Below are 25569 nucleotides of genomic sequence, written 5' to 3' on the forward strand. Positions count from 1 at the left end.
TCTTATTCCTTTTTATGGCTGCATAGTATTCTATGGTGTATATATGTATCATATTTTCTCTGCTTTTTTCTTCTTTTTTTTTTGAGACAGAGTTTTGCTCTTGTTGACTAGGCTGAAGTGCAGTGGTGCTACCTCAGCTCACTGCAACCTCTGCCTCCCAGGTTCAAGCGATTCTCCTGCCTCAGCCTTCATAATAGCTGAGATTACAGGTGCCCACCACCACGCTGGGCTAATTTTTTGTATTTTTAGTAGAGACGGGGTTTCACCATGTTGGCCTGGCTGGTCTCGTACTCCTGGCCTCAGGTGATCCACCTGCCTTGGCCTCCCAAAGTGCTGGGATTATAGGCATGGGCCACCGCATGAGCCACCGCACCCAGCCACCACATTTTCTTTATCCGGTCCATCACTGATGGGCATTTGGGTTGATTCCATGACTTTGCTATTGTAAATAGTGCTGTAATGAACATGTGTGTGCCATCTCAAGATGATATTTGTATATGGTGAGAAGTAGGGGTCAGGGCTGCTTTTTATTAAATGAGGGTGTCCAGTTGTTCCAGCACTTTTTACTGAAAAGACTTTGCTTTTCCCATTGTACTGCTTTGGCTCCCTTGTCAAAAATCAATTGAATGTACAAGCACAGGTCTATTTTTCAACCCTCTGTTCTGTCCCTTGGAGCCATTTGTCTATACCAGTACCATACTGTCTTGATTACTATAGCTTTGTAGTTTGTTTTTTGGAAGGATAATGGCTTCCAACTCCATCCTTTCCAAGTCTTGAAATCAGGTAGTGTACATTCTCCAACTCTCTTCTTTTTCAAGATTGCTTTGGCTATTCTAGGTCTTTCAAATTTCCATATAAATTTAAGAATCAGACTGTCAATTTCTATCCCGCAAAAATGACCCTATTGGAATCATAGTTGGGATTATTGAATCTATAGATAAAATCAAAGAGAATTAACATCTTAACAGTACTGATTCTTCCAATCCTTGAAGATGGATGTCTTCCCACTTATTTAGGTCTTGTTCAATTTCTCTCAGCAATGTTTTATGTTTTCAGCGTACAGATCTTGCCCATCTTTTGTTACATTTTTTTCTAAGAATGTAATTTTATACTATCATAAACTATTTTTTCAATTTTTCAATGTTAACTGCTATTATGTGATTCATTTTTGTGAGGTGTATGTTTGTGAGCCAACCGTGCTATGCATTTACATTTAAAAAGAAAAACAAGGCCAGGCGCAGCGGCTCACGCCTGTAATCCCAGCACTCTGTGAGGCTGAGGTGGGTGGATCACTTGAGGTCGAGAGTTTGAGACCAGCCTGGCCAACATGGTGAAACCCCATCTCTACTAAAAATACAAAAATTAGCTGGACTTGGTGGCGTGCACCTGTAATCCCAGCTACTCAGGAGGTTGAGGCATGAGAATCACTTGAACCCGGGAGGTGGAGATTGCAGTGAGCCGAGATCGCGCCACTGCACACCAGCCTTGGAAGCAGAGTGAAACTGTGTCTCAAAAAAAAAAAAAAAGAAAAGAAAAAGAAAAAGAAAAAAGAAGAAGAAAATCAATCCAAAGCCTGTCTTATTCATCCTTTCAGAGAGGCAGCACAAAGATGGGTTGGGTTTAGCTTGAGAGCTGGGAGACCAAACTTCTGTCCCAGTTTGCCTCTACTGGCTGCGTGAACTTGGCCAAGGATGATAGTGTTGAAGTCAAAATAAAAATGTAGAGGTGAATTTTTATTTTTATTTTTTATTTGTACACATTTGTGGGGTGTATGTGACATTTTGTTATGTGTATATAGTATGTGGTGATCCAGTCAGGGCATTTAGGGTGTCCATCACCTGAATACAGTACATTTTTGTTAACTATAGTCACCCTACTCTGCTATCAAACATTGAATTTATTCCTTCTTACTGTATGCTTGTACCCTTTAACCCACTTCTGTTCGTCCTCCCTGCTCCGACACTCACCCTTCTCAGTCTCTGTTAGCTGTTTTTCCCATTTTTCCAGTCTTTGCCTCCATGGGATCAAATTTTTAGCTCCCACAAATAAGTGAGAACATGGAATGTTTGTCTTTTTGTGCCTGCTTATTTCACTCAAGATAATGACCTCCAGTTCCATCCCTGGCTGTTGCAAATGACAAAAGAATTTTTTTTTTTTTTAGACAGAGTTTCGCTCTGTCACCCAGGCTGGAGTGCAGTGGTGCGATCTCAGCTCACTGCTACCTCAGGCTCCTGGGTTCAAGTGATCCTCGTGCCTCAGCCACCTGAGTAGCTGGGATTACAGGCGCGTGCCACCACACCCGGCTAATTTTTGTGTCTTCAGTAGAGACGGGGTTTCACCATGTTGGCCAGGCTGGTCTCGAACTCCTGACCTCAAGTAATCTGCCTGCCTCGGACTCCCAAAGTGCTGGGATTACAGGCATAAGCCACCACACCCAGCCTCAAAAGGATTTTAAAATCTAATGTTTTCTTGGGATATAAGAATTGTAATTTGGGATATATATATATATATATGAGAGAGAGAGAGAGAGAGAGAGAGAGAGTGTGTGTGTGTGTGTGTGTGTGTGTGTGTGTGTGTGTGTTTTGGTATGTTTGAAGAATAAAGAGAAGGTTGGCAGTTTTGTAATAAAAAGGAGAAATGTTATGTGTGTTTTTCAAGAAAACTTATTAGTATTAGCAAGGTTTTGGAGAGTTGGCAAGTTATGATGGGTGAGTGACAGTTGTGGGTAAAGCTAGTTTTAAAGTCGTTTTAGTAGTTATTAGATAAAACTGGTTTTAGTTGTGGTAGGCATTTTTAGTAGTCGGACTTGTAGAGAATCATGTTTTTGGAGTCATGTTATATGCCCCGAGTGCTTTTTCTTCTTGGCTTCTCAGCTCCGTTTTAGTTGGGTGTAAAAACAATAACCCAATTTGCTTGGTCACCTTTCACAACAGTATTCTTTCCCTATTTCTGCTATCACTCCACACAGTCAGAATTCAACTGCTCATCCATCGCAGTCTTTCCGTAATACCTATGGAGAGAAAGCTTTTTACTGTTGTTCCCTAACCTCTTTGGAAATCTGGTAGAAGCTTTGAATTTTGTCCTCGAAAAACTGTACACACACACACACACACACCCAGTTTTGTGTACAATTTTAGGGTGTTCAGGGAACTTCGGAAGCCTGTCAGCCTTTCGGGGTCCACAGGCCCTCACTGTGAACCCCTTCTAGAGTGGAAGCTCGGGGAGGGCGAGAGGCCGCCTTCCTTTCCCTCGGCTCCTCCTGCACCCAGCGAGGGCTCGGCCTGCCGTGGCCGCCCCGTGAGTGACCGCCGCTTTTGCTGAACGGCCCGGGCGCTGGGTCGCGGCCTCCCGCAAGGCTGGCCTCTCCTCCCGAGTGGCAGCAGGTGCTCGGATGACCGGGAGCAGCCCACGCTCTGGTGAAGCAGCGCGACCCGAGGCCCGGTGTCGTCCCCCATCGTTACGCAGCGCGTTCGTGCCAGGGCAGGTCTGGAGTGAGGGCGGCTGATTTAAATCCCACGCCCTTCGTGGGGTTTTCTGGGCAGGGCGGGAAAGCGTCTGGATGTCCACACCCCCGGGAGGTGGCCTGTCTTTCCCCCGTGGGCACCGCAGCGGGACAGCGTGGCTGAGACCCGCGGCTCTCTCGCCAAAGCCCCTGCGCCTCCGCTGCTGTCGGCGAGGTCGGCCCGGCCGCTCCCCCGCGGGCCGCTGTCCCCGGTGCCCTGGAAGGGCTCCAGGTGGCGGTCTCGCTGCAGAATCCTCCGAGCTGCGCTCGCCGCCCGGTGCCTTCGCAGCGGCCCCGGTTGGGTTGCGGGTCGCGGGGCGGCGAGCGCAGGGAGCGTCGCGGGGCCACCCCTCTCTCTTCCTGAAGCCCCCGCGATCGTGCAACGGGCCGCGCCGCCTCCTGCTGTGTTCCACGGTGATTCTCAAGAGCACGCGGGCAGTGGGCGGTGACGCCGTGTGTGTGTGCTTCCTCCCGCGCAGGTGCCGGGGACACGGGCGGCAAGCCGTCCACGCGGGGCGGTGACCCTGCAGCGCGGTCCCGCAGGACGGAAGGCATCCGCGCCGCGTACAGGCGGGGAGACCGCGGCGGCGCCCGGGACCTGCTGGAGGAGGCCTGCGACCAGTGCGCGTCCCAGCTGGAAAAGGTAGGGGAGCGCCTGCCCCTGCGGCCACCCATGCAGCCCCGGGCTGGACGAAGGGGACCGCTCAGATGATTTTCTCGTTATTGTCATAACGGTAATGGGCGTTTTTACTGTGTTCTGGAAACGCCTCGCTTTGCGTATAAACTTGTGGGCGCCTTTCCTTTCCAACTGACTTCTCAGTCTGATATCACCTAAGCAGGCCCCTGCCACCTTTTCATGGGAGGCCTTTGAGGGACGGGGGTGTGGTCACTTAAATGTAAAGAACAAAATGCCACCCAGAGGCTTAACCTACTCTATTCTTTTACGTTTTTGTCGTTATAAAAAGTAGCACATGCTGGAAAAATAAAATTTAGAAAATATGTCAAAGTAGGAAAAATGGGACAAAAAAGTTACCAAATTCCTGATACACCCTAAAACCCACTTAACAGTTTTGCTGTATTTTCTTCCAGCCTGCCGATCTGAGCATACATGGTTGTTGTTGTTGTTTCTAATATAGATGCAGACAGATTGCATATATGGTGATGCAGCTGCTGCTCGTACTTTTATAACATTATTTTAAGAATTTTCCAGATGATTAAAAATTCCTTGTAGGCGTCTCCTTCAATGGCTACGTGACACTCCATCTAGAGGGACCGTGTCTACCTGGCTATTCATCTTGGCTGATATTAGGATTGCTTCTCATCTCTTACTAATATAAACGATGCTCTATTGAATGTTTTTGCCTCATTCTTTTCTTATGGTAATGTTATTTTCTTAGCATAGATCTGCAGGGATTGAGAATGTGGATATGAGGACTTTTAAAGTTTTGGAATACATGCCAAGCTGTTTTCCAAAAATCTTCTACAGATTAACCCTCCCAGCAAAAGTTGGAGTGGACCATCACCACATTTTTTGCCCCTGTGGGGGCTTCTTACTGGCTATTATCATGAAAATACCTTAAGGATGTTTTATTTGCATCACTTTGATTAGGACAGGCTTAACATGCCTCCATTTAATTGATAGTTAGAATTCATTCAATTCCTAAAACTCCAACCTGTTCTCAGAAGTGTAAGAGATTGGGAGAGGGGCAGTACAGCATGCTTGGGAATTGTTAAGCAGAAGGAAGGCATTTAAGATCCCTCTGATTAGGAATTCATGGTGGATATGGAAAAGGATCATTCTTCTGCACAGAGAGAGCTGCGCTGTGCACACGAGCAGGTCAGAGCTGTGGGCTCCTCGGGTGCACCCCAGTGGCCTCAAGCAGGGAGGAGCTGGGCAGCAAACACAGCCTGGCATCCCTGCCAAGTGGCCAAGCAGCCAGAGATAGTGGCTCATTCCAGAGCTGTGCAGATTCAGGGATGTGGCAGCAGCAGGAGATGCTGACGGGGGAAGATGATCATGGAGAGACCTGAGAGCCAAGGGGGATGTGACTTCATCCTGAGGGTGGAAAAGCTGTTAAAGGCAGTGGCATCATAATTTGGCAAAGAGCACTCTGGCCCATATTTGAATAAAGGAAAACAGAGTCCAGGGTGTGTGTCTCTTCTCTGTGGCATCATGGACAGTGGCAACTCAAAATCGAGAAGGTTCCTAGAAAGCTGCCTCTCCCCTGAATACAGGACTGATGAAATCCCAGCTGATTGGACTTTGAGAAGACAGTGAGGAAAAGGATGGATACATCTGTGTTTTCATAAAAATGTAAAATTATAGTTCCAAAAAATACCATAAATAAGAGTCAACGGTTGATGCAAAAGGAGAAAGTATATGGCTAATACCCTTCATTGACAAAGAGCTTTTACAAATCAATATGAAATAATAACATAATTTTCAAAAGGGCAGCAGGACATGGAAACAGCAAAATAAAGGTAAAGAAAGTAGAAGCCATGAAACTGTAAAAATAATTTGAAAGTTTTGAAATAGAAAGCAAAGTAGAAAGAAGTAGAAATGACCACTAAATCAAAAATTGGTTCTTTGAAGAGATTAATAAAATAGAAAATCTCTGGTGAGAGTAAAAGATAAAAAAGAAGAAATAGATAAATCAGGAATATAAAAGAGAACTTCATGACAGTTTATACAAGCATTAAAAACATAATAAGAGAATGTATTATGAACAAGTTTATGTTAAAACACTCAAAAATTTAGATGAAATGAACAAATAAAAAGAAAAATTTAACTTTAAAAAGAAACAGAAAGCATGAATAGTCTTTCAACCATGAAGGAAATAAATCAATCATGTAAAACCTTCTGACAAAGCAAATTCTAGGTCTACATGGTTTTACTGGTGTGTTCTACCAATAATATAATCACTTGTCCAGAAAATAGAAAAAGAGGGTGCACTCACCTGTTCCTTTAATGAAGCTAACACAACCTCAATACCAAGAGTAGGTGAGAACAGTACCTGGAATGAAAATGACTAAGGATATGAATAGGCAAATAGACACACACACATCTGAAAGATATTCAGATAGATGGTACACATATGTAAAGTTATTCAACTTCGTTAATGCGTATAGAAAGGCAAATAAAACAAAAATGAAGCAGCCTTTTTAAGCTAATCAGATTGACACCTTAAAGTTTGATAAAAATCAGAAGGAAGGCTATGGGAACTTACACACCTTTATTCAATGCTACTAGGAAGGTACTAGGAATGTGTGCAGCCTCTTTGGAAGGCCATCTGAAAATGCTTGTCAAATTTTCAAATTTCATTATCTTTGACCCAGCAAAACTACTGCTAGGAACTTACCCCTACAGATTTACTTGAAAAAAAATTACCAATTTGTATGTGTAAGGATGTTCATTCAAGTTGTGTTTAAGATAGAACAACCTTGAAAACTGCCTAACTGTTCCATCCACAGGAGAAGGCTGCTACAGAAATCTCAGTCTGTCCTGGTCCTAGAATACCACACAGCACTCCAAAAGGACAAGATAATCTCTAGCAGCTGTTTTGGAAAGAACTCCAGTGTAACTTAATGTAATAAGTGCAGAACTTCTGCTTCCGGGAAGATGGAGGGAATATGGAGGTTGTTTACTTTGCCCTCTTCTTCTCACTAAGTGCACTGAAGCTCTAGACGTTACATGTAAAACAAACGTAGGATTCTAAAAGGTAGAGAAAAGAAGGCAGAGTAGCTGGTGGCCTCAGTACTCAAGGAAATCACAATAGTACGTTTTTGGGTTTTATTTGTATCTCATACATCCCAAACCAGATACTGAGGAAGTTGGCAATCCAGAAACACAAACTGGCACAGAGAAAAAAAAAAAAAATTCCAAGGAAAGCCTGCTCTCTCCAACCAAAGCACCAGGAAAGGAACAGCAAAGCCAGGCAGGAAACTTACAGGCAGTCAACAACCCTCTTCGGCAAAACACTGAAGAAATATACTTGCAGCCCAGCCCCACCCCTCACCAGCAAGGGCCAGGTGGAGAGCTTAGATTTCCACCCTTGCCAGGCTGTAACAGGCACCCCAATCATCCCCACCCCACGGTGTCAGAGAAGGCTGTGAGGAGCTGGGGTGCTAATCCCCACCAGGTGGTGACAACATCCCCCATCACCATCAGTGGACAGCATGTGGGGAGCCTGGACTTCTGTCACCACCCAGCCTGGCAGTAATGAGACATGCATTCCCCATCTAACTAGGGCAGAATTGAAGCAGGCCTAGAGGAGAACCTGAAGTCCCAACGCTGCCCAGCAATAGCAAGGAGCCCCTGCTTACTGGGTGTCAACTGATTCTAAGTACAGCCCCCAGATTTCCACCCCACCAGGCAGCAATGAAGGGGCATCCCTGTTTACCCACCAGAGTGGCGTCAGAGGAGACCTGCCAACACACAAGATTGAAGTAAGATCCAGAGTCTTAAAACATAAAGACCCAAATATCCAGGCCACAATAAAAAATTACTCGTAATTACCAAGACCAGAAAGATCGCAAACTCACTGAGACAAGACAACCAAGAGATGCCAACACTAGGATGACTCCAATGTTAGAATCATCTAACAAGGATTTGAAGGCAGTCATCATAAAAATGCTTCTGTGAGCAATTATAAATACACTTGAAACAAATGGAGTAATAGAAAGTTTCGGCAAAGAAATAAAAGACATGAGGAGAGCCAAATGAAAATTTTAGAACTTAAAAGTACAATACCTGAAATTTTAAAATTAAAAAAAAACTCAATGAATGGGCTCAACTGTAGAATGGAGAAGAGAGGACAGGGGAAAGAATCAGGGAGAATACAGAACAGTAGAAATTACCCACTCTGGAACAAAAGCCAAAGCAAAAGAAAATAGACTGAACAAAAGAACAGAGCCTCATGGACATGTGAGGATTTTAACAGAAGATCCAACAGTCATGTCATCAGAATCCCGGGAGACTAGACAGAAGGCAAGACTGAAGGAGAACTCAAAGAAACAATGGCTGAAAGCTTCTCAAACTGGCAGAAGACATAAATGTTCAGATTCAAGAAGTTGAAAACAAACAGGATATGCCCAGAGAAATCCATTCCAAGCTCATCATAGTCAAGCTTATTAAAACTAAAGACAAAACAAAATAAAACCTTGGAAGTAGTCAAAGGGAAACATTGCCTTTAGGGGAAAAAAAATCCAAAAGACAAAAATCACCAACGTCAGAAGGGAAACACAGAACATCACTACAGATCCTGCAGATATCAAAAAGATAATAAGGGGACATTATGAACAGCTCTAAACACATACATTGGACAACTTAGATGAAAGGGACAAATCCTTGAAAAGTAGAAATTACCTCAACTTAATAGGAAATGCATAATTTGAATAGCCTTTTAACTATTAAGAAAATTCAATTCATAATTTTAAACTTCCCCAAAAAATAAATTTACAGGTTCAGATGGCTTCACTGGATAATTCTACCTAACATTTAAAGAATTAATACCAATGCTACATAGTCCCTTCTAGAAAATAGAAAAGGGAACATTTTTTAACACTTTTATGAAGGCTGTATTACCCTGACACCAAAACCAAAGACAGTGTTAAAAAAAGAAAAGTACGGACCAATGCCCATTATGAATGTGGATGCAAAAATTCTTCACAAAATATTAGCAAGTACAATTCTGCTATATGTAAAAGGAATTATAAGCCATGACCAAGTGGAATTTATTCCAGAGATGCAAAGTTGCTTCAGTTTCAATCATCAATCAATGTAATCCTCCTTATTAATAAACTAAAAAAGAAAAGTTACCTTATCATATCAATTGATACAGAAAAAAATTGACAAAATTCAATACCATGTTTTTCAAAAACTCTTAGAAAATTAAGAATAGGAGGGAACTTCCTCAATTGGGTAAAGAATATTGACAAAAACCTACAACTAACATCATTCTTGATGTTGAAGACTGTTTTCCCCTGAGATCAGGAACAAGGCAAGAATGTCCATTCTCAATATAATACTGCAAGTTCTATTCAAGAGCAACTATAATATCATTGTATTTAAAAAATACTATTCAATGTATTTAATATATTGCTGGCAATTCTAGCCAATGCAAGAAGGCAAGGAAATGAAATAAAAGGCACACAGATATGAAAGAAATAAATTAAACTGTCTCTATGTGTGGATCACATGACAATCTATACAGAAAATCCATAAAAGAAATGATTTATGAAAGAAAAATTGGTAAACTGGACCTCACCAAGATTAAAAACTTTTCTCTGAGAAATACCTAAGACAGTGATTCTAAAAAAAGCTACAGACTGAGAGAGGTATTTACAAATCACTTATCTGACAAAGGACTCATAGCTAGAATATATAAAGAACTCTCAGAACTCAACATGAAAAAGCAAACAATCCAAATAGAAAATGTATGAGATATGTGAAGAGACATTTCACTGAGGAAGATACACAGATGGCAAATAAGCACATGAAAAGATGTTCAACATCGTTAGCCATTAGGAAAATGAAAATTAGAGCAATGATAAGATGTCATTGCACAGCTTTATGAACAGCAAAAATAAAAAATAGTGACAGTACCAAATTCAGATTGGGATGCAGAGAAGGGGTATCTCTAATGTGTTGCCACTGAGAATGTAACATGGTACAATCACGCTGGAAACTAGTTTGTCAGTTTCTTTAAAAAAACTAGAAATACACTTATGAACCAGCAATTGAACTCCTGAACATTTAGTCTAGAGAGAGGAAACTTACATGCACATGAAAACTTGCTCATGATGTGTCATACCAACTTTATTTGTAATGGCCCAAAACTGGATACAACCAAAGACTCTCAGTAAGTGGATACTTAAACATATATGGAGTACTACTAAGCTATACAAAGGAGCTCTCCTGAAACACGCAGCAACTCAGATGGATCTCAGGACATTATGCTGATTTAAAAAAAAAAAAAGCCAATCTCAAAAGATCATATTCTCTATGATTCCATTTATGTAACATTCTCAAAATGACAAAATTTTACAGGTGGAAGAGAGATTAGTGTTTGTCAGGGGTTAGAGATGGTGAAAAGGAAGAGAATGAGTGAGACTACCATGGGTGCGTGGCATGAGGGAGACCTTTTGATGGAACAGGTGATGGAACAGGTTCGTATCTTGATTGTGGTAGTGGCTACTCAAGTCTACATGTGTGACAAAATGCAGAACTATATACATACATTGTACTAACGTCAAGTATCTTGCTACAATTATGTAACATATTGCCATCGGGGGAAACTGGATGAAGGATACTAGGGTTTTCTCAGTACTATCTTTGTAACTTCCTGTGAATCTCTGATTATTTCAAAGCAAAAAGTTAAAAAAAAAATAGGTAAAGTATAATTCCACTTTTACAGCACTTAAAAACTGGCAATAGTTAATCTGTGGTGTTAGAAGTCAGTATAGTGGCTACACACCATAGGGCAGTTACTAGAAGGAACAAAGAGGGCTTCTGGGCACAGGTGATGTCCTGGTCTTTGGACTGAGGCCAGTTACATGGGTGTATTCAAATGCCTTGCATGAAACTGAACATTTAAAATATTTGCATTTTTCTGCAGGTGTGCAGGTGTGTTATATTGTTGATTAAAAGGTCATAATGAATTAAGTGAAAAAAGCATTTGGTTGTATATGAGATTACCTGTGAGTACTATAAATAAATATGTTCTGGAAGGCATCCTTTGCAGAGGGCGACTGGGAGGTAAAGGCATAGAGAGAGGCCTACTTCCTGTTTTATACTTTTCTATGCTGTTTGAATTTTTTCAAATACTCACTATGGAGCCTCCAGCCAGAAAGCCAGCTTTCACCTTTTCCACTGTCTGGGTCCCTCTTGGCCTTGGGCTGGCTCCTATGACGTCACTTACCACCTCTAGAGGATGGGGCTTTTAAGCCTCTAACCGACCGAGTCTAGACAGCTGTTAGTTGTGGGCAGTGAAGCATTTAATCAATCACTGTGGCTTTTATCCATAATGCAAATGCTTTCCTGGAATGACAGGGCTACTGGGCCTCACCCTGGGCAGAGTGGCAGGTGGGTGGGCTTTTCTTTTCTGATCATATTGAATGTATGAGTCTACCGTCCTTCACCTGATCCCAGCCCCTTAGACTGTTCCTCTCCTCACGTGTCAGACATACCTCCCACTGCCAGCCCATTCACTCCACTAACAGAACCTGAGCCTTCCTCCAAGTCCCATGTTTCCAGGAAGTCTTGGATGCAACAGAGACTCTTGGGCTTTAGAGCTAGACACATCCCAGTTCAAACTCTGAGTAGTTCTGCTGATGATAAACTCCCTAACCATGGGCAAGCTTTTATTTCCTCTTCCATAACATAGAAATACAGGCACATTCCTGGCATGACTGTTAGGAGGATTGAATGTGGCCATGTGAATAAAGTACTCAGTCCAGCATCTGGCACCTGGTGAGAGCTTTGATAAATGTTCACTCCCTTTCCTGGGGGCTCCATTTTACCCATTCCTGCCCAACTTACCTAAAATGATCTCCAAACACACTTGTGTTATAAACTATTCAGCAAGTCAAATGTGCTTGTCGGGGGCTGTTTATGCATATTCCCACCTCAAACTTAATTGTAAATCTGTGGAGGCCAGAAATGGCCCCTGGCATCCTCAGTGCCCAGTCCCACCTGTCACACACAGTAGATCCTCAGTAGGTGTTGATGGGGGCACTCGCCATCCCTGGCATCCTGAGTGCCCAGTCCCACTCTCACACACAGTAGATCCTCAGTAGGTGTTGATGGGGGGCACTCGCCATCCCTGTCATCCTGAGTCCCCAGTCCCACTCTCACACACAGTAGATCCTCAGTAGGTGTTGATGGGGGACACTGGCCATCCCATTCCAATAGGGGATCCCCATCTACCTGCTTGACCACACTGATGTTCAAGCCCACAGGAGGCAGCCAGCTTCCAAAGGACTTGACATTTCAGAAACGCAATCAAACACTTGACATGCCAATCTAGCAGCTATCTGAGCATCCTTTTCTCAGACCCAGAGAGCTCGTGATAAGTCAAGGCCACTTTTACACTGGTCAATGATAGCCACTTACTAGCTATGTGGTCTTGGGCAAGCTCTGAAGCCTCTCTGAACCTCCACATCCTTGTTCATATATTAACACATGGCCCTCCTCCTGGGACCTTTACATACCAGAAGGACTGGAATGAGCAGGAACTCAGGCTTAGGTCCAGTTTCCACCATATCCTTTCCTTCCTCTGGGCCACCAAGTCAAGAGTCCCTCTGCATGCTGCTGGAGGATCTTTGTCCCAGGATTCAGATCTGTGAAGTCCCCTGGTGTGTCACATTCCATTTATGAATACATTGCAGGATGGTTCTTCAGAGAGCTGGTTCCCTTCCCCCTTCGCAAGGCTGACTTAACATGTACCAAGTGGTTACTGAGCTCTGGCTCTATGCCAGAAGGGGCTATGCACACCGTCCCCTTCCTCATGAAGCAGGTAGTCGAGAGCAGCAAATGCGAGCCACATGTATATATCATATTTTCTAGTAGCCACATTAAAGCAGTAAACAAGCACACACCTATAATCACAGGTATTCCGGTTGGAGGATCAGTTGAGCTCAGAAGTTCGAGACCAGCCCTGGCAACATAGCAAGATCTGGTCTCTACAAAAAAAATAAACAAAATTAGCCGGTGTGGTGGCATGTGCCTGCAGTCCCAGCTACGCAGGAAGCTGAGGCAGGGGGATCACTTTAGCCTGGGAGGTCAAGGCTGCAGTGAGCTGAGATTGCACTACTGCACTCCAGCTTGGGTAACAGAGAGAGACCCTGTCAAAAAAAATAAATAAAATAAAGGAGCAAACAGAAACAAACAAATAAAATGTTAATATTATTTAACATGAATATATTAAAATCATTGTTTCAACATGTAATCAACATAAATTATTGATGAGCTAGCTTACCCTTTCTGTACTAGGTCTTTGAATTCACGTGTGATTTTATACTCTCCACCTCTCACTTCTGAGGAGCCACATTTCAAGTGCTGCCCAGTCACACTTGGCAGGTGCTGCCGTTCTGGACAACACAACTCCAGTCCTGCTCCGGGACCTGGTGAAGGGTTTAACGTCAGTTGTCTTGGCAGTTCCTAATAGAGCCAGTCTCACTGGAGCCCTGTTCTGTTTTGACCAGGGCCAGCTTCTGAGCATCCCGGCAGCCTATGGGGATCTGGAGATGGTCCGCTACCTACTCAGCAAGAGACTGGTGGAGCTGCCCACCGAGCCCACGGATGACAACCCAGCCGTGGTGGCAGCGTATTTTGGACACACGGCAGTTGTGCAGGAATTGCTTGAGTCCTTACCAGGTAAATCACAGGGCATGAGCTCTTAACCGTGTCTCAGGGCACCCTCTTCTTAGGCTTCACCCCAAAATGTTTACTTCTTCATGCTTTCACCAATAATGAGATCAAGAAATACAGGGTAGGCCATTGACACCCAAACAAAGTGAAGCTTGCCTGCCAGCCACATTCCACCTCTCACTCCCATGAACTCATAAGGGAAATTCTCAAACACCATATTTCATAAAGAATGTAATTAACATTGCTTTTTAAAAAAATAATTAATAGACCTTGGTCTTTTTAGAGAAGTTTTAGATTTATGGAAAAAATCAATTGGAATGTACGGAGTTCCAGAATTAATGATTTGGAGGTATGTTAACAGAAAACAGGTGATCGCTAAATCACTTACACAAGAATATCTAGGTAAGAGAGACAGTAATCATGCTAGTAACTTCTATTGAGATGGGGACGCATCAGTCTCAGGAGGCAGGTGCTATATTTCAGAACCATGGTTTTAAGATGACGAAAACAAAGCTCAGAGAGGTGACCCTCCACTGTGCGCCCTCCACATGGTTTTCCCTATAACTCTGTTTTGTGTTAGTGTGGGACATTTGTGACAACTGATCAACTAATATTGATACCTTCTTACTAACTAAAGTCCATCGCTTACGTTGCAATTCATTCTTGCTGTTGTATATCCCATCGGTTTTGACAAATGGATAATGACACGTGTCCATCATGACAGTATTACATAGAGCAGTTTCACTGCCCTAAAAATCCTCTGTGCTCCACCCCTCCCCTGGCCCCATCCCTCCCTCCCTCCCTCCCTCCCCTGGCCCCTGGCAACTACTGATCTTTTTTACTATCTTTGCCTTTTCCAGAACATCGCTCTAGTTGGAATCCCACAGTCTGTAGCCGTTTCAAACTCACTTCTTTCCCATAGCGATATGCATTTAAGGTTTCTCCATGCCTTTTTGTGACTTGATAGCTCATTTCTTTTAATGGCTGAATAATATTCCATTGTATTGGTGTACCACACTATGTTGCTTTTGTAGGAACTATTTTTTTCTCTGGTGAACTCAAGATGTCCTGGTCTCCTGTAATTTCCCGTGGTGGTCTTGGCTCAGAAACACTGCACCAGTCTAGGCAGGCATCGCTACAGCTATAGGGTGAGGCACACCCTAGCCATGGTCTTTGGGATTTGAGATTTTGCTTGGGAGCCAGGGCCCACCTCTTGGGTGGGAGAACATGCAGTCACCCAGGGCCCTGCACCTAGAAGGGCCCACGTTACGTTTAATACTCTGTACTCACTATCTTAAAATGTTTCATGATTTTTAAACAAGAAGCCCCATTCTTTTCATTTTGCATTGGGCCTCACCCCTTATATAGTGGTCTTGTTTGAGGGTTTCCAGCTGTGGGCTTTGATAGATCTGTGCTCAGCGTTGGTTCCAAGCTAGTGTTCCCCTCATGTGTCTGAACAGAATGAGGTTATGGGCAGAAATCAGGGCAATTTTAGGGCCCATGAGAAGCATACTAAGACAAGACATAGGAGGGCAGAGAGGAGCTTGGGTGCTCCTGAGGAGCCAAAGGCTGACCTGCCTCTTCTCGGGGAGCCCCAAGATTAGCTCTGTTCTAGCCCTGAAGAGTCTGCACCAGCTGACTCCGTCACCTAATGTTAGCTAATATTTATTGAATACTGTCAAGTGCTGAAAACTGTGTAGAACGTGAGAGACAGATAATTTTTTTAAAGATTTTCCCAGCCATTTAGTACCTCCTGGCCAAGCAGGGGAAATTGAGGCAGAAAGGAGTAACACTGTGCAATGTAACTACACTGAGGTTGAAGTATTTTTACGCAGAGGTCTGGGAGCACACATCAGGGGGCAGGGTAGGGTCTCCGAAGGGAGGCTGACATCTGACCTGGGCTTTGCAGAGTGAATAGGAGTTTACTTGGCAGACAAGTGAAGGAAGGACTTGGGTTGCCTGCTTTTGCAGAGCAGGAAGTGTGGCTGAACCTCGTCATGGTTTTCAACTGCTCCCAGGAGCATCGTATCTTCAGCTCAACTCTGAGCAAAGCTGCTGAGGACTGAAGGATTTCAGACCATTGTGGTGGGCTTTGCAGAAAGTGCAGAGATGGGCAAAACAGTGTGTACCCATCCCTGCACTTCCTGCAAAGGAGTTCCCAAGCTGGAAGGGAAGTCAGCCATGGTCAGGAGTAAGTCAAGACAAGAAGACAAACAAGAGTCAGGCTGGACATGCTGGCTCATGCCTGTAATCCCAACAATTTGGGAGGCCAAGGCAAGAGGATCACTTGAGCCCAGGATTTCATGACCAGCCTGGGTAACATAGTGAGACCCTGTATCTACAAAAAAAAAAAAAAATTTAAATTAACCAGGCATGGTGGCACATGCCTATATTCCCAGGTACTTGGGAGGGTGAAGTGGGAGAATGGCTTAAGCCCAGGAGTCCAAGGCTGCAGTCAGCTATGATCACATTACTGCACTCCAGGCTGAGATAGAAGGAGACCCTGTCTCAAACAAAAAACAAAAACAAGAAGCAGCTAGAGAACAAAGGAGGGTTTGAGAAGAAGAGGGATGAGAGGTTGATGGGATGCATTCTTTGAAGCACGTTGTTATGTGATTCCTGGTCTCTGAAGCTGAGCAGGGAGGAAGAGGGGCTCCTCTGAGTGTCGTTGGCCTTAGGCTGTAGAGAGTACCTGTAGGGGTTTTGTGTGGTTAAGAGAGCACCCTTTGATTTTAGACAAAGCAAGGTTTAAGTCTTGACCTTGCTATTTACTAACTGTGGGACCTTCAAGAAGTTTCCCTGCCAGGTGTGTCCCACAGACCCTGGCTGATGGATGAAATGAGTACTCAGACACAGGTGTACGGTGTAAGAGCAGCTGAGTCACTGCCTGGCTCTGTTGGCCAGAGAGCAGCCCGAAGAAGCTAGAGCTGCTTGCTTTCATTCAGTGCAGGCACAATGCCGAAAACCTGGAGCCAACACAACCTGTAGGTAATTAACATTTATTGTTCCCCTTTCAGGGAACATCAAGCCAGCAGATGATCAAAGGTCAGTTCCTGGTCAACATAAGTAAACAAGCCTGTTTAAGATACATTCCCCTACACTCCTTGCCCTCTGCCTTCAGCTGTTCTCCCCCAGGGCTCTGCAGAAGCTTCCAAACTTTCAGAAGGTTTGTGTCCTTTCCCTGTAGTTTTTCCTACGACTCTGACCAATCTCCTACATTTCCAAACCTCTCTGAGCTTTGGTTTCCTCATCTTAAAATCATGGTCCTGAAATATAATGCCTGCCTCCAAAGACTGACACATCCCCATCTCAACAGAAGTTACTAGCATGGTTACTGTGTTTCTCTTACCCAGATATTCTTGTGTAAGTGGATTAGGGGTCACTTATTTTCTGTTAACATACCTACAAATCATTAATTCTGGTTAACAGTAGAGGGAGAAGAAGGGATATTTACTTGGCACTGGCTCCAGCCTCAGCCCTATGCTACATGCTTTATTTGGTGAATACAGGGCCATCCTGACCCCGGTTTCCTGATCAATGTCCTGTCGCGAAGGAGAGAGTCACTCTCTCCTCACTTGGGAGCACTTTGATCCCTAGGACTATGTGCCTCTGGAAATGAGGCAGTGTTATGATGCATTTGGGAAGTGTCCCTGCAGAAGATGAGGTCATTTTTCCATGGCAACTAGACCCAAAAGATATTGCACTATTTTGAACTTGAAGATATTGTAACATTTCAGCCCACACTGCCCCCGTCAATTCAATGTGCTAAGTGTTATTTCATCCTGGAATTAAGTAGGTGGTTCTACTGGGGAGAAATTGTCACTTTTAGGCCTGACAGATCTTTCACCAAAGCTTTTATTATTATTATTCATGAAAGTAATATATGTATATTATAGATAATTTTAAAATGTGGGAAAGTGTCAGTACTTTAATAATACAATGACACAACATCATGAGTTAGGGTTTATTGATCCAGGCACTTGACATGCATTTTGTGATGTAGTCCTCACATTAAACTTGGAAGAATGAGTATTATTATTCCGATTTTACCAACAGGCAAACTGAAACAGAGAGAGATTAAGAAATGTGTCCAAAATTACATACTAAATTATTTTATTTCTAAAATGCCTGTCTCCAAAGTTCATACTCCTGCATGTAATGTTACCCTAGGGGAGGGGTGAGGGCAGGGGAGAGCCCAGAGAAAATACCACAATGCTGGGGTAGTTGTTTCTAGTCTTATTTCCACACACCCATTTTTTATTTGGCTAAGATCATGCTGGATACGCCATTTTTAATCCTCCATTTCATCACTCGGCATTATCTGACAAGCAGGTGGGTGACTGATGTGGGGAAATGTCATATGCAATTCAGAGAGACTATTCCAGAAAACACTATCAACTCAACAGAAGCAACTTTCAGCTGGAAACAGGACAGCTGGGTTTTGTTTTGTTTTGTTTAACTTTTACTTTAGGTTCAGGGGTACATATGCAGGTTTGTTACGTGGGTAAACTGCATGTTGCCGGGGTTCGGTATGCAGATTATTTCGTCACCTGGGTAATAAGCATGGGACTCAATAGGTAATTTTTTAACCTTCCCCCTTTTCCCTCCCTCCACCATCAAGTAGTCCCCAGTGTCTATTGTTCCCTTCTTTGTGTCCACGTGCATTCAATGTTTAGCTCCCCCTTATAAGTGATAACATGCAGTATTTGGTTTTCTGTTGTTGCGTTAGTTCACTTAGGATAATGACCTCCAGCTCCATCCATGATGCTGCAAAGTACATGATCTCATTCTTTTTTATGGCTGTATAGTATTCCATGGTGCAAATGTACCACATTTTATTTAACCAGTCCATTGCTACTAGCGGTCTAAGGGAAGAGCAGAGTGGGAACAAACAGCACCCTTCAGTGGCACTTTCCCTTTGTCCTGCCATCTCCTGCCAGGTCCCTGCAGTCCCCAGCGGCTTCTGAACTGGATGCTGGCCTTGGCTTGCCAGCGAGGGCACCTGGGGGTTGTGAAGCTCCTGGTCCTGACGCACGGGGCTGACCCGGAGAGCTACGCTGTCAGGAAGAATGAGTTCCCTGTCATCGTGCGCTTGCCCCTGTATGCGGCCATCAAGTCAGGTGGGTTTCCCCACTACCCTGAGTCAACCCTGACCGTGCAAACCATCTCAGCCTCCAGATGTGGGACTGTGTCTTTATTCTCACTCTTGGCTCTCAAATCACCTCTGTGAGGAGACTTTTGCAACTCCTGTTCTATGTTTCTTTTTCAAAATATCTGCACCCTTCCTCATTTCCTCCTTACTTGCCCCCGCAAGGGGATTTCAGTGACAGAGACTGACTGTGGCTAATGGGACTGTTGTACGAGGCACTCCAAAGGGCAAAGCCCCACAGAAATTCTCCCACTAACAGAAACTTGATGCACCAAGGGAAGTAAATAGAGAAGTCCAACATGCACAAGTACCTTTTCAGTTTCCATTCCACATATCAGAGTCTGCCCTTCCAACGACTGTGACACTAGCATCTGCATGCCCTTAGCTTTTTGGTTTTGTTCCTTTAGGGAATGAAGACATTGCAATATTCCTGCTTCGGCATGGGGCCTATTTCTGTTCCTACATCTTGCTGGATAGTCCTGACCCCAGCAAACATCTGCTGAGAAAGTACTTCATTGAAGCCAGTCCCTTGCCCAGCAGTTATCCGGGAAAAACAGTGAGTAGTCACTGCCTGTGGAGTGTGTTTTAGTTCCTTTTGTGCTGCTGTAACAGAATCCTGCAGACTGGGTAATTTATAATAAACAGAAATATATTTGGCTTACAGGTCTGGAGATTGAGAAGTCCAAGAGCATAGTGCTGGTATCTGGTGAGGGCCTTCATGCAGTGATATGAAGGTGGAGGGCAAGAGACCAACAGACTGAGAGAGGGAAGAACTCACTTTTATAACAACCCACCCTCAAAATAACAAACCCACTTCCACAATAACAACATCAATCCATTTATGAGGGTGGGGCCTTCTTGGCCTAATCACCTCTTAATGGTCCCATCCTTATCACAACAGCAATTACATTTCATCATGAGTTTTGAAGGGGACATTCAAGCTATAGCAGGGTGGGAGCTGAAATCTGGGCTTCATCCCCCTCCCAGAGTTTTTGTTTTTGTTTCTGGTTTTTTTTGGTTGTTTTTTTTCTCTTTTCCTTTTTTCAAAAATTGGTTAAATATATCATATTTAACATATTTCTTTTTTAAATTTTTATGTGTTAAATTTTAAAATTACTAAAGTTATGAATGATTGTTATAACAAGTGATCACAATTGAGAGTGGTAATCAAAATTATGAATCTTCTGCCCTTGAAGTAAATAGTTTAACAACCTGGTAGGGATCTTTTCACATCCTTCCACATGCAATGCTATAAAAACATTTACAAAACTATACAGGGTTTAGTTTTAATTTCCCATTTTAATAACAAAAATATTATTGCGTTATTTACATTGTCTTCAACTTGGCTTTTTAAATTTAGTATTCTATCATGGACTTCCTCTAGATCAGTTATTGTGGCTTCAACTCATTCTTTTAGGGACGTTCTTTAAATACATAGAGCCAGTGTCACTTAGTTGACATAGCTCTCCTGCTATTGGTGGACATTTGAAATAGTTCTTTTTTTTTTCCTGTTGCAATATAGCCTGATTTGCTATGGTATGTTTGCTTATGTAGAGCACAGTCCTAAAAGTGGGCTGCTTTGGAAACACTGCCCCCCAACACTCTGGTGATTCACATTTTCACCAGCAATAGGTGGGATTCTCTGTCTCCACCCCTCAGCCAGCAAGCAGTAGGCATCCTGGAGCCTATTAATTTTCATCAGTGTGAGGCAAAAATAATTTCTGCTTATTTTAATTTCCATGTTATATTAGTAATAATACTGGATATCTTTTCATATGTTCATGAACTATTTGCATTCCCTTTATGTGAACTGCCTGTTAATGTTTGTTGATTATTTTTTCTAAAGGATTGTTTGTCTTTTTTTCTCACTTTGGAGGGTTTTTTTTTTTTTGAACATTAGAGATTTTTAAGACTTTATCATAAATGTTGCCAATATTTTTCCCAATCCATTATTTTTCTTTTTTTGTTATCTTTTGTGATAGCAAAGGTAAAATAATACATAATTCAATATGTTCATCTTCTCCTTTCTGGTATGTGGTTATACAAGAAGGCCACTTTCCCTCTAATTTTATTTCAGTATTCTCCTGGAGTTCCTTGTAATGTTTTCATTCATTTAGTTTTTACATTTTAAGCTTTAACCTTTCTGGTATTTATTTGTGTGTATTGTATGAGGGAAGTGGCAGAGGGTGGAGGTGGCTAGCTTTTATCTCTTCCAGATAGCCAGCTACTCTAGCACAGTTTTTAAAATGAAGTTTTCTTTCTCATCTGAATTGAGATGTCACCATTGGCATTTTCCCCAGTACCTATATCTGTATACATTTTGGGATTCTCAGTACTGGTTCACTGGCCTATTAATCTGTTTCTGGCAAATGTCATATTGTTTCGATTATAGGCACTGCATTTAAGTTTTACAATCTGTTAATGCAAGTTTTCTGTTCATTAGTTTTTTTCAAAGATATCTTGACTGGACTATTATCGGACATTTGTTCTTCTATTTTGCTCATTTCCCACAGTGACTCTATTTGTGTAGCTTTTATGTTCTTTAATGAGATTTTTTTCTTTTCTTCCTAAAACTCCTGGACCTGTCTTGTCTGTTAGTGACTTTTATATTGTTTTTGCTACCATTTTAATGAACTATCTATATATTTATATAACTCTTTTCCATTTCTATTCCAACCTGATGTTACTGGTATGGAGAAAAGTTATTTTGTTTATTTCTGTTTTATCCAGTTCCTTTCCCATCTTCTCTTATTCACTCTAATGTAGTTTTTACTAGAATTCCTCAATACTTTTGGATATATGATCACATATTCTACAAATTCAAAACAAGTTTATCTCTTTTTTCTAATATTTATACAACTTATTATTCCATGTCTTATTGTGTATCTTTAGAAATCTCAAAAACTGAATAATCATGACTCTAGCAGTTATATCTATCTTGTTCCTGATTTTAAATGTCTTGGTGTCACCAATTTATAAGCATTTGCTCTGGACAGTTAGCAAATAGGTTCTTGTTATATTTAGGTAGTTTCCATGTATTCATTTTTGCTTTGAGTTTTTATTAGGAAACATTACTGAACTTTTTCAAATCCCTTTTTGCAGCAATTAGTGTATTCATATAGCTTTTCTACTTTATTGATTTAATAAATGATTTTGATAGATGTTGACTCAACCTTGAACTCCTATTATAAATGCTCATTGTCTTTTTTTAACTGCTGGATTTGATCTATTGATATTTTATTTACAGTTTCTGCATCTGTGTTTATAGGTGAATTGATCTATAATTTTCTATTTTTAATGTTTCTATGTGGTTTTATATAAGATGATGCTAGCTTTACAAAATAACATGGGGAACTTTCCATCTTATTATTATCTGGAGAAGTCTCACAGGAATTATTTATTGTTAATGGTTAATTAGATAAAGCAGATCTTTATTTTCTGATTCCTTTTGAAGTCATTTGTCAATTCACATTGTCTGCTTTCCCTTATATGCAAGTCAGGAAATTATATTTTGGTAGAAAATTATCCATTTCCTTTAGGTTTTTGAATTTGCCATCATAATGTTGCATTGACATTTTTCTCATTCTTTTCTTCTATATCTATACTTATATTACTCTTTTCATTTATGCTGTTGAACAGTTTTACTTTTTCTCTTTCAAACTTAATCAAATTAGCCAGAGATTTATGTTAAAATACAAGGAACTGTCAAGGAACTTGATAGATTTTTTAAAATTACTTGTTTTGTTTGTTATTTCATTAATTTTCACTTCTGTCTGTATTAAAACCCTCTTCATATGGTTGTTTTTGGGGTTTTGTTTTGTTTTGTTTCTGTTCTTGTTTTTTGAGATGGAGTTTCACTCTTGTCACCCAGGCTGGAGTGCAATGGCGTGGTCTCAGCTCACTGTAACCTCCACCTCCCGGGTCCAAGCAATTCCCCTGCCTCAGCCTCCCAAGTAGCAGGGATTACAGGTGTGCAACACCACACCAAGCTGATTTTTGTATTTTTAGTAGAGATGGGATTTCACCATGTTGGTCAGGCTAGTCTTGACCTCAGGTGATCCACCCGCCTCGGCCTCCCAAAGTGGTGGGATTACAGGCATGAGCCACCGTGCCCGGCCCATATGTTCTTTTTTGAGAGTTTTGTTGATGGTGTTGAGGTTAAAGCAAGGCCTTGGCATGAGACTTCCTGGTTCTTATCTGGACTCCAGGCTTCAGTACTGCAGGGCCTTCGTCTGTGTCTTGGTTTAATGGGAAAAGCAATAAAATACCTGTCTCAGAGGGATGCTTGACAAATAAGTGTAGTAATATTTGTGACATCCTAATAGCAAAGCCTGGCACGTAGCAAACGCCTAATAGATGTTACCTGTTTCTTGAGTTGAATATTTATTTCTTCCTCCTTTTTCTCTAATTTTAGCTTGTTGATTACAGTATTTGAGCCCTTTATGTGCTGCCTGTTTGTGCTAGCTTTCTTTATCAGAGCCTGAAATATAGATATAGAGATATATAGATATATAGAGATGTACAAGTGTACATACATCCATCGATACAAGTACATATATTTATTTCCCACTTCTGATGATTTTTAAAATCTCATTCTTCTTATGTCTCTACAAGGTTTTGCTTGACATACCTGGTTTCTGGCTTTATGACTCATCAATACCTATTTTGGTTATATCAAATGGCCACCTTAATCCTGTTGATGTCTCTGTCCTTGAAATTGAGTTTGTTTTCTCTTCACGTGTCCACTTTGCCCTGTTTTTCTTTGTGTCAACCTTGGATAAGTTTTCCCAGATATTTATTTTCAGGTTTTTATTTGTCTCTTTGCCGTAGGTATATTTCTTGTAAACAGCATTTGGTTTTTAATCTCATCTGAGTGTGTTTCTTTTGAACGAGGGATCCACCCACTTCATATTTGTGTACAACCTGTCCTATTAGTATATATTTTTCCATCTCTTTAATTTATATTTATTACTATTTCCTTTTTACCCTTCCCTTATTCCTGCTGGTTTCCTAGTTTCTAAAGAATACTGATATTCTACTTTCTGTATATTTCTACCTATCTGTTCCTTGGTTGGTTTTCTCAGTTATAAAACAGGGATAACAATGCCCTTCACAGGGCAGCTGTGCACTTAGCACAGGCCCTGGCACATAATAAGTGCTCAATAAATATTAGTTATATTGCTATTAGCCGCACATCACCAAAAGAAATGATGATCATCTAACCCTTACATCTATGTAGTGCTTGTTACTTTTCCAAGCACTTTCTTAACTAATTTGGTCCTTATAACACCTCGGTAAGAACTGCAGGGAATAGCATCTGTTTTACATATGAAATTATTGGGGTATAAAGACATTACGTTATTTGTCCAAGGATGACAAATACTAAACAGTATTGATGCTTAGACTCCCGAACACAGTTCCTGAACTGTACCGCCTAGGTTTCACATAGACGAATGATTCTCTGCACATCATAATCCCTGGGAACTTTTTAAAATCCTGATGCTCAGACCACATCTTACACTGATTAAATCTGAATCTGTAGCGTGAGACCCGGCATGAGGAGTTTTAGAAATTCTCCAGGTGATTCCAATGTGCACCCAAGGTCAAGAGCCAGTGGCTCCGATTTTCTTGGTGTAAGGGTAAAAGCAGAAACAGCTGTTATCTTCTACCTGTGATCTTTTCTGTGAGGCAACTCTTCTTACACATGCCAAGGTTGGCATAGAGCATGGAGGAAGCGATTACTGCATTTTGTGAATGAAAAGACAAGGAAAAGGCAATGGTGCTTTTCCTCTAACTGGCTCTGTTGCGTGGAATCAGAAGAGGAAATGAAATTTCAGCGCAACCTGAGTCTCAAGGGCTCCTTGAGCTTCCCCAAAGCAGGTGGTATTTTTAGCATTCAAGTGAATTTCAGAGGCAAGTACCTTGGAGTGGGTGTGCCTGGCTGCCCCGTCATCTCTAACCTGCAACAGCACATTCCTTCGGTGCTGCTGGCAGAAGAGAACAGAGAGGGGTCCGGGCAGAGGGTTCCGGCAGTCAGGAAGGATGACTCAGGAGCCAGAGGTAAGTGCTCCTACCTTCCCAGGTATCCAGTGGGATTAAAGTGACAGTTTGGGTTGGTTCAGAATATTACACAAGGGTAGGTATTAAAAGGGTGCTTCACTGACATGACACATGGTCTGAAAAGGCCTTTGGCACTGCTGGCACTCATGGCTGTGACCTTGTTGAAGTAACGGTCCCTTCAGGGCACGTGTGACGGAGGTTGTTGCTCCAGCCCTGGTACAACAAGCAGTCACGGGCCACGCGATGATGTCTTAGGGAGATCATGCATGTGCCATCGTGTTTTTTGTGTGGTTGAGCTCTGCCTGACACACCAGCTGGTCAGTATTTTTTAATGTAATTGCTGCGTGTGTGGAAGCCACAGCCGACCCAGGTACAGCAGCCCCTCTGCATGTTTCTGGGCCAAGCATAGCCCGAATCCACCTCTGCCCGCAAAGGGAGAAAATACAGAGAAACCCACATTTGTTTTCCATTGGCAGTGGCTGGCTGCTT

At 42.3% G+C, this 25569-nt stretch overlaps 1 protein-coding gene across 1 annotated transcript in view, besides 3 other annotated features; it reads left to right on the plus strand.

The window, feature by feature from the left end:
• LRRK1 (leucine rich repeat kinase 1) overlaps nt 1-25569 on the plus strand; it is a 158901-nt gene that overhangs the window by 50466 nt on the left and 82866 nt on the right. Inside the window, exons 3-6 of the mRNA NM_024652.6 lie at nt 3982-4145; nt 13706-13877; nt 18812-18991; nt 19428-19576. Coding sequence (NP_078928.3) covers nt 3982-4145; nt 13706-13877; nt 18812-18991; nt 19428-19576 — 665 coding nt within the window. The remainder of the gene's footprint in view (nt 1-3981; nt 4146-13705; nt 13878-18811; nt 18992-19427; nt 19577-25569) is intronic.
• Nucleotides 3365-3454: an enhancer, noted in NCBI's record as "active region_10180". NCBI's record gives its function as "activates an Ori minimal core promoter by ATAC-STARR-seq in GM12878 lymphoblastoid cells {active_cell/tissue: GM12878}" and the evidence as "EXISTENCE:reporter gene assay evidence [ECO:0000049][PMID:35858748]".
• Nucleotides 3905-3954: a silencer, noted in NCBI's record as "silent region_6882". NCBI's record gives its function as "represses an Ori minimal core promoter by ATAC-STARR-seq in GM12878 lymphoblastoid cells {active_cell/tissue: GM12878}" and the evidence as "EXISTENCE:reporter gene assay evidence [ECO:0000049][PMID:35858748]".
• Nucleotides 11244-11293: an enhancer, noted in NCBI's record as "active region_10181". NCBI's record gives its function as "activates an Ori minimal core promoter by ATAC-STARR-seq in GM12878 lymphoblastoid cells {active_cell/tissue: GM12878}" and the evidence as "EXISTENCE:reporter gene assay evidence [ECO:0000049][PMID:35858748]".

Source organism: Homo sapiens, chromosome 15, assembly GCF_000001405.40.
Source record: "Homo sapiens chromosome 15, GRCh38.p14 Primary Assembly".
NCBI lineage: Eukaryota > Metazoa > Chordata > Mammalia > Primates > Hominidae > Homo > Homo sapiens.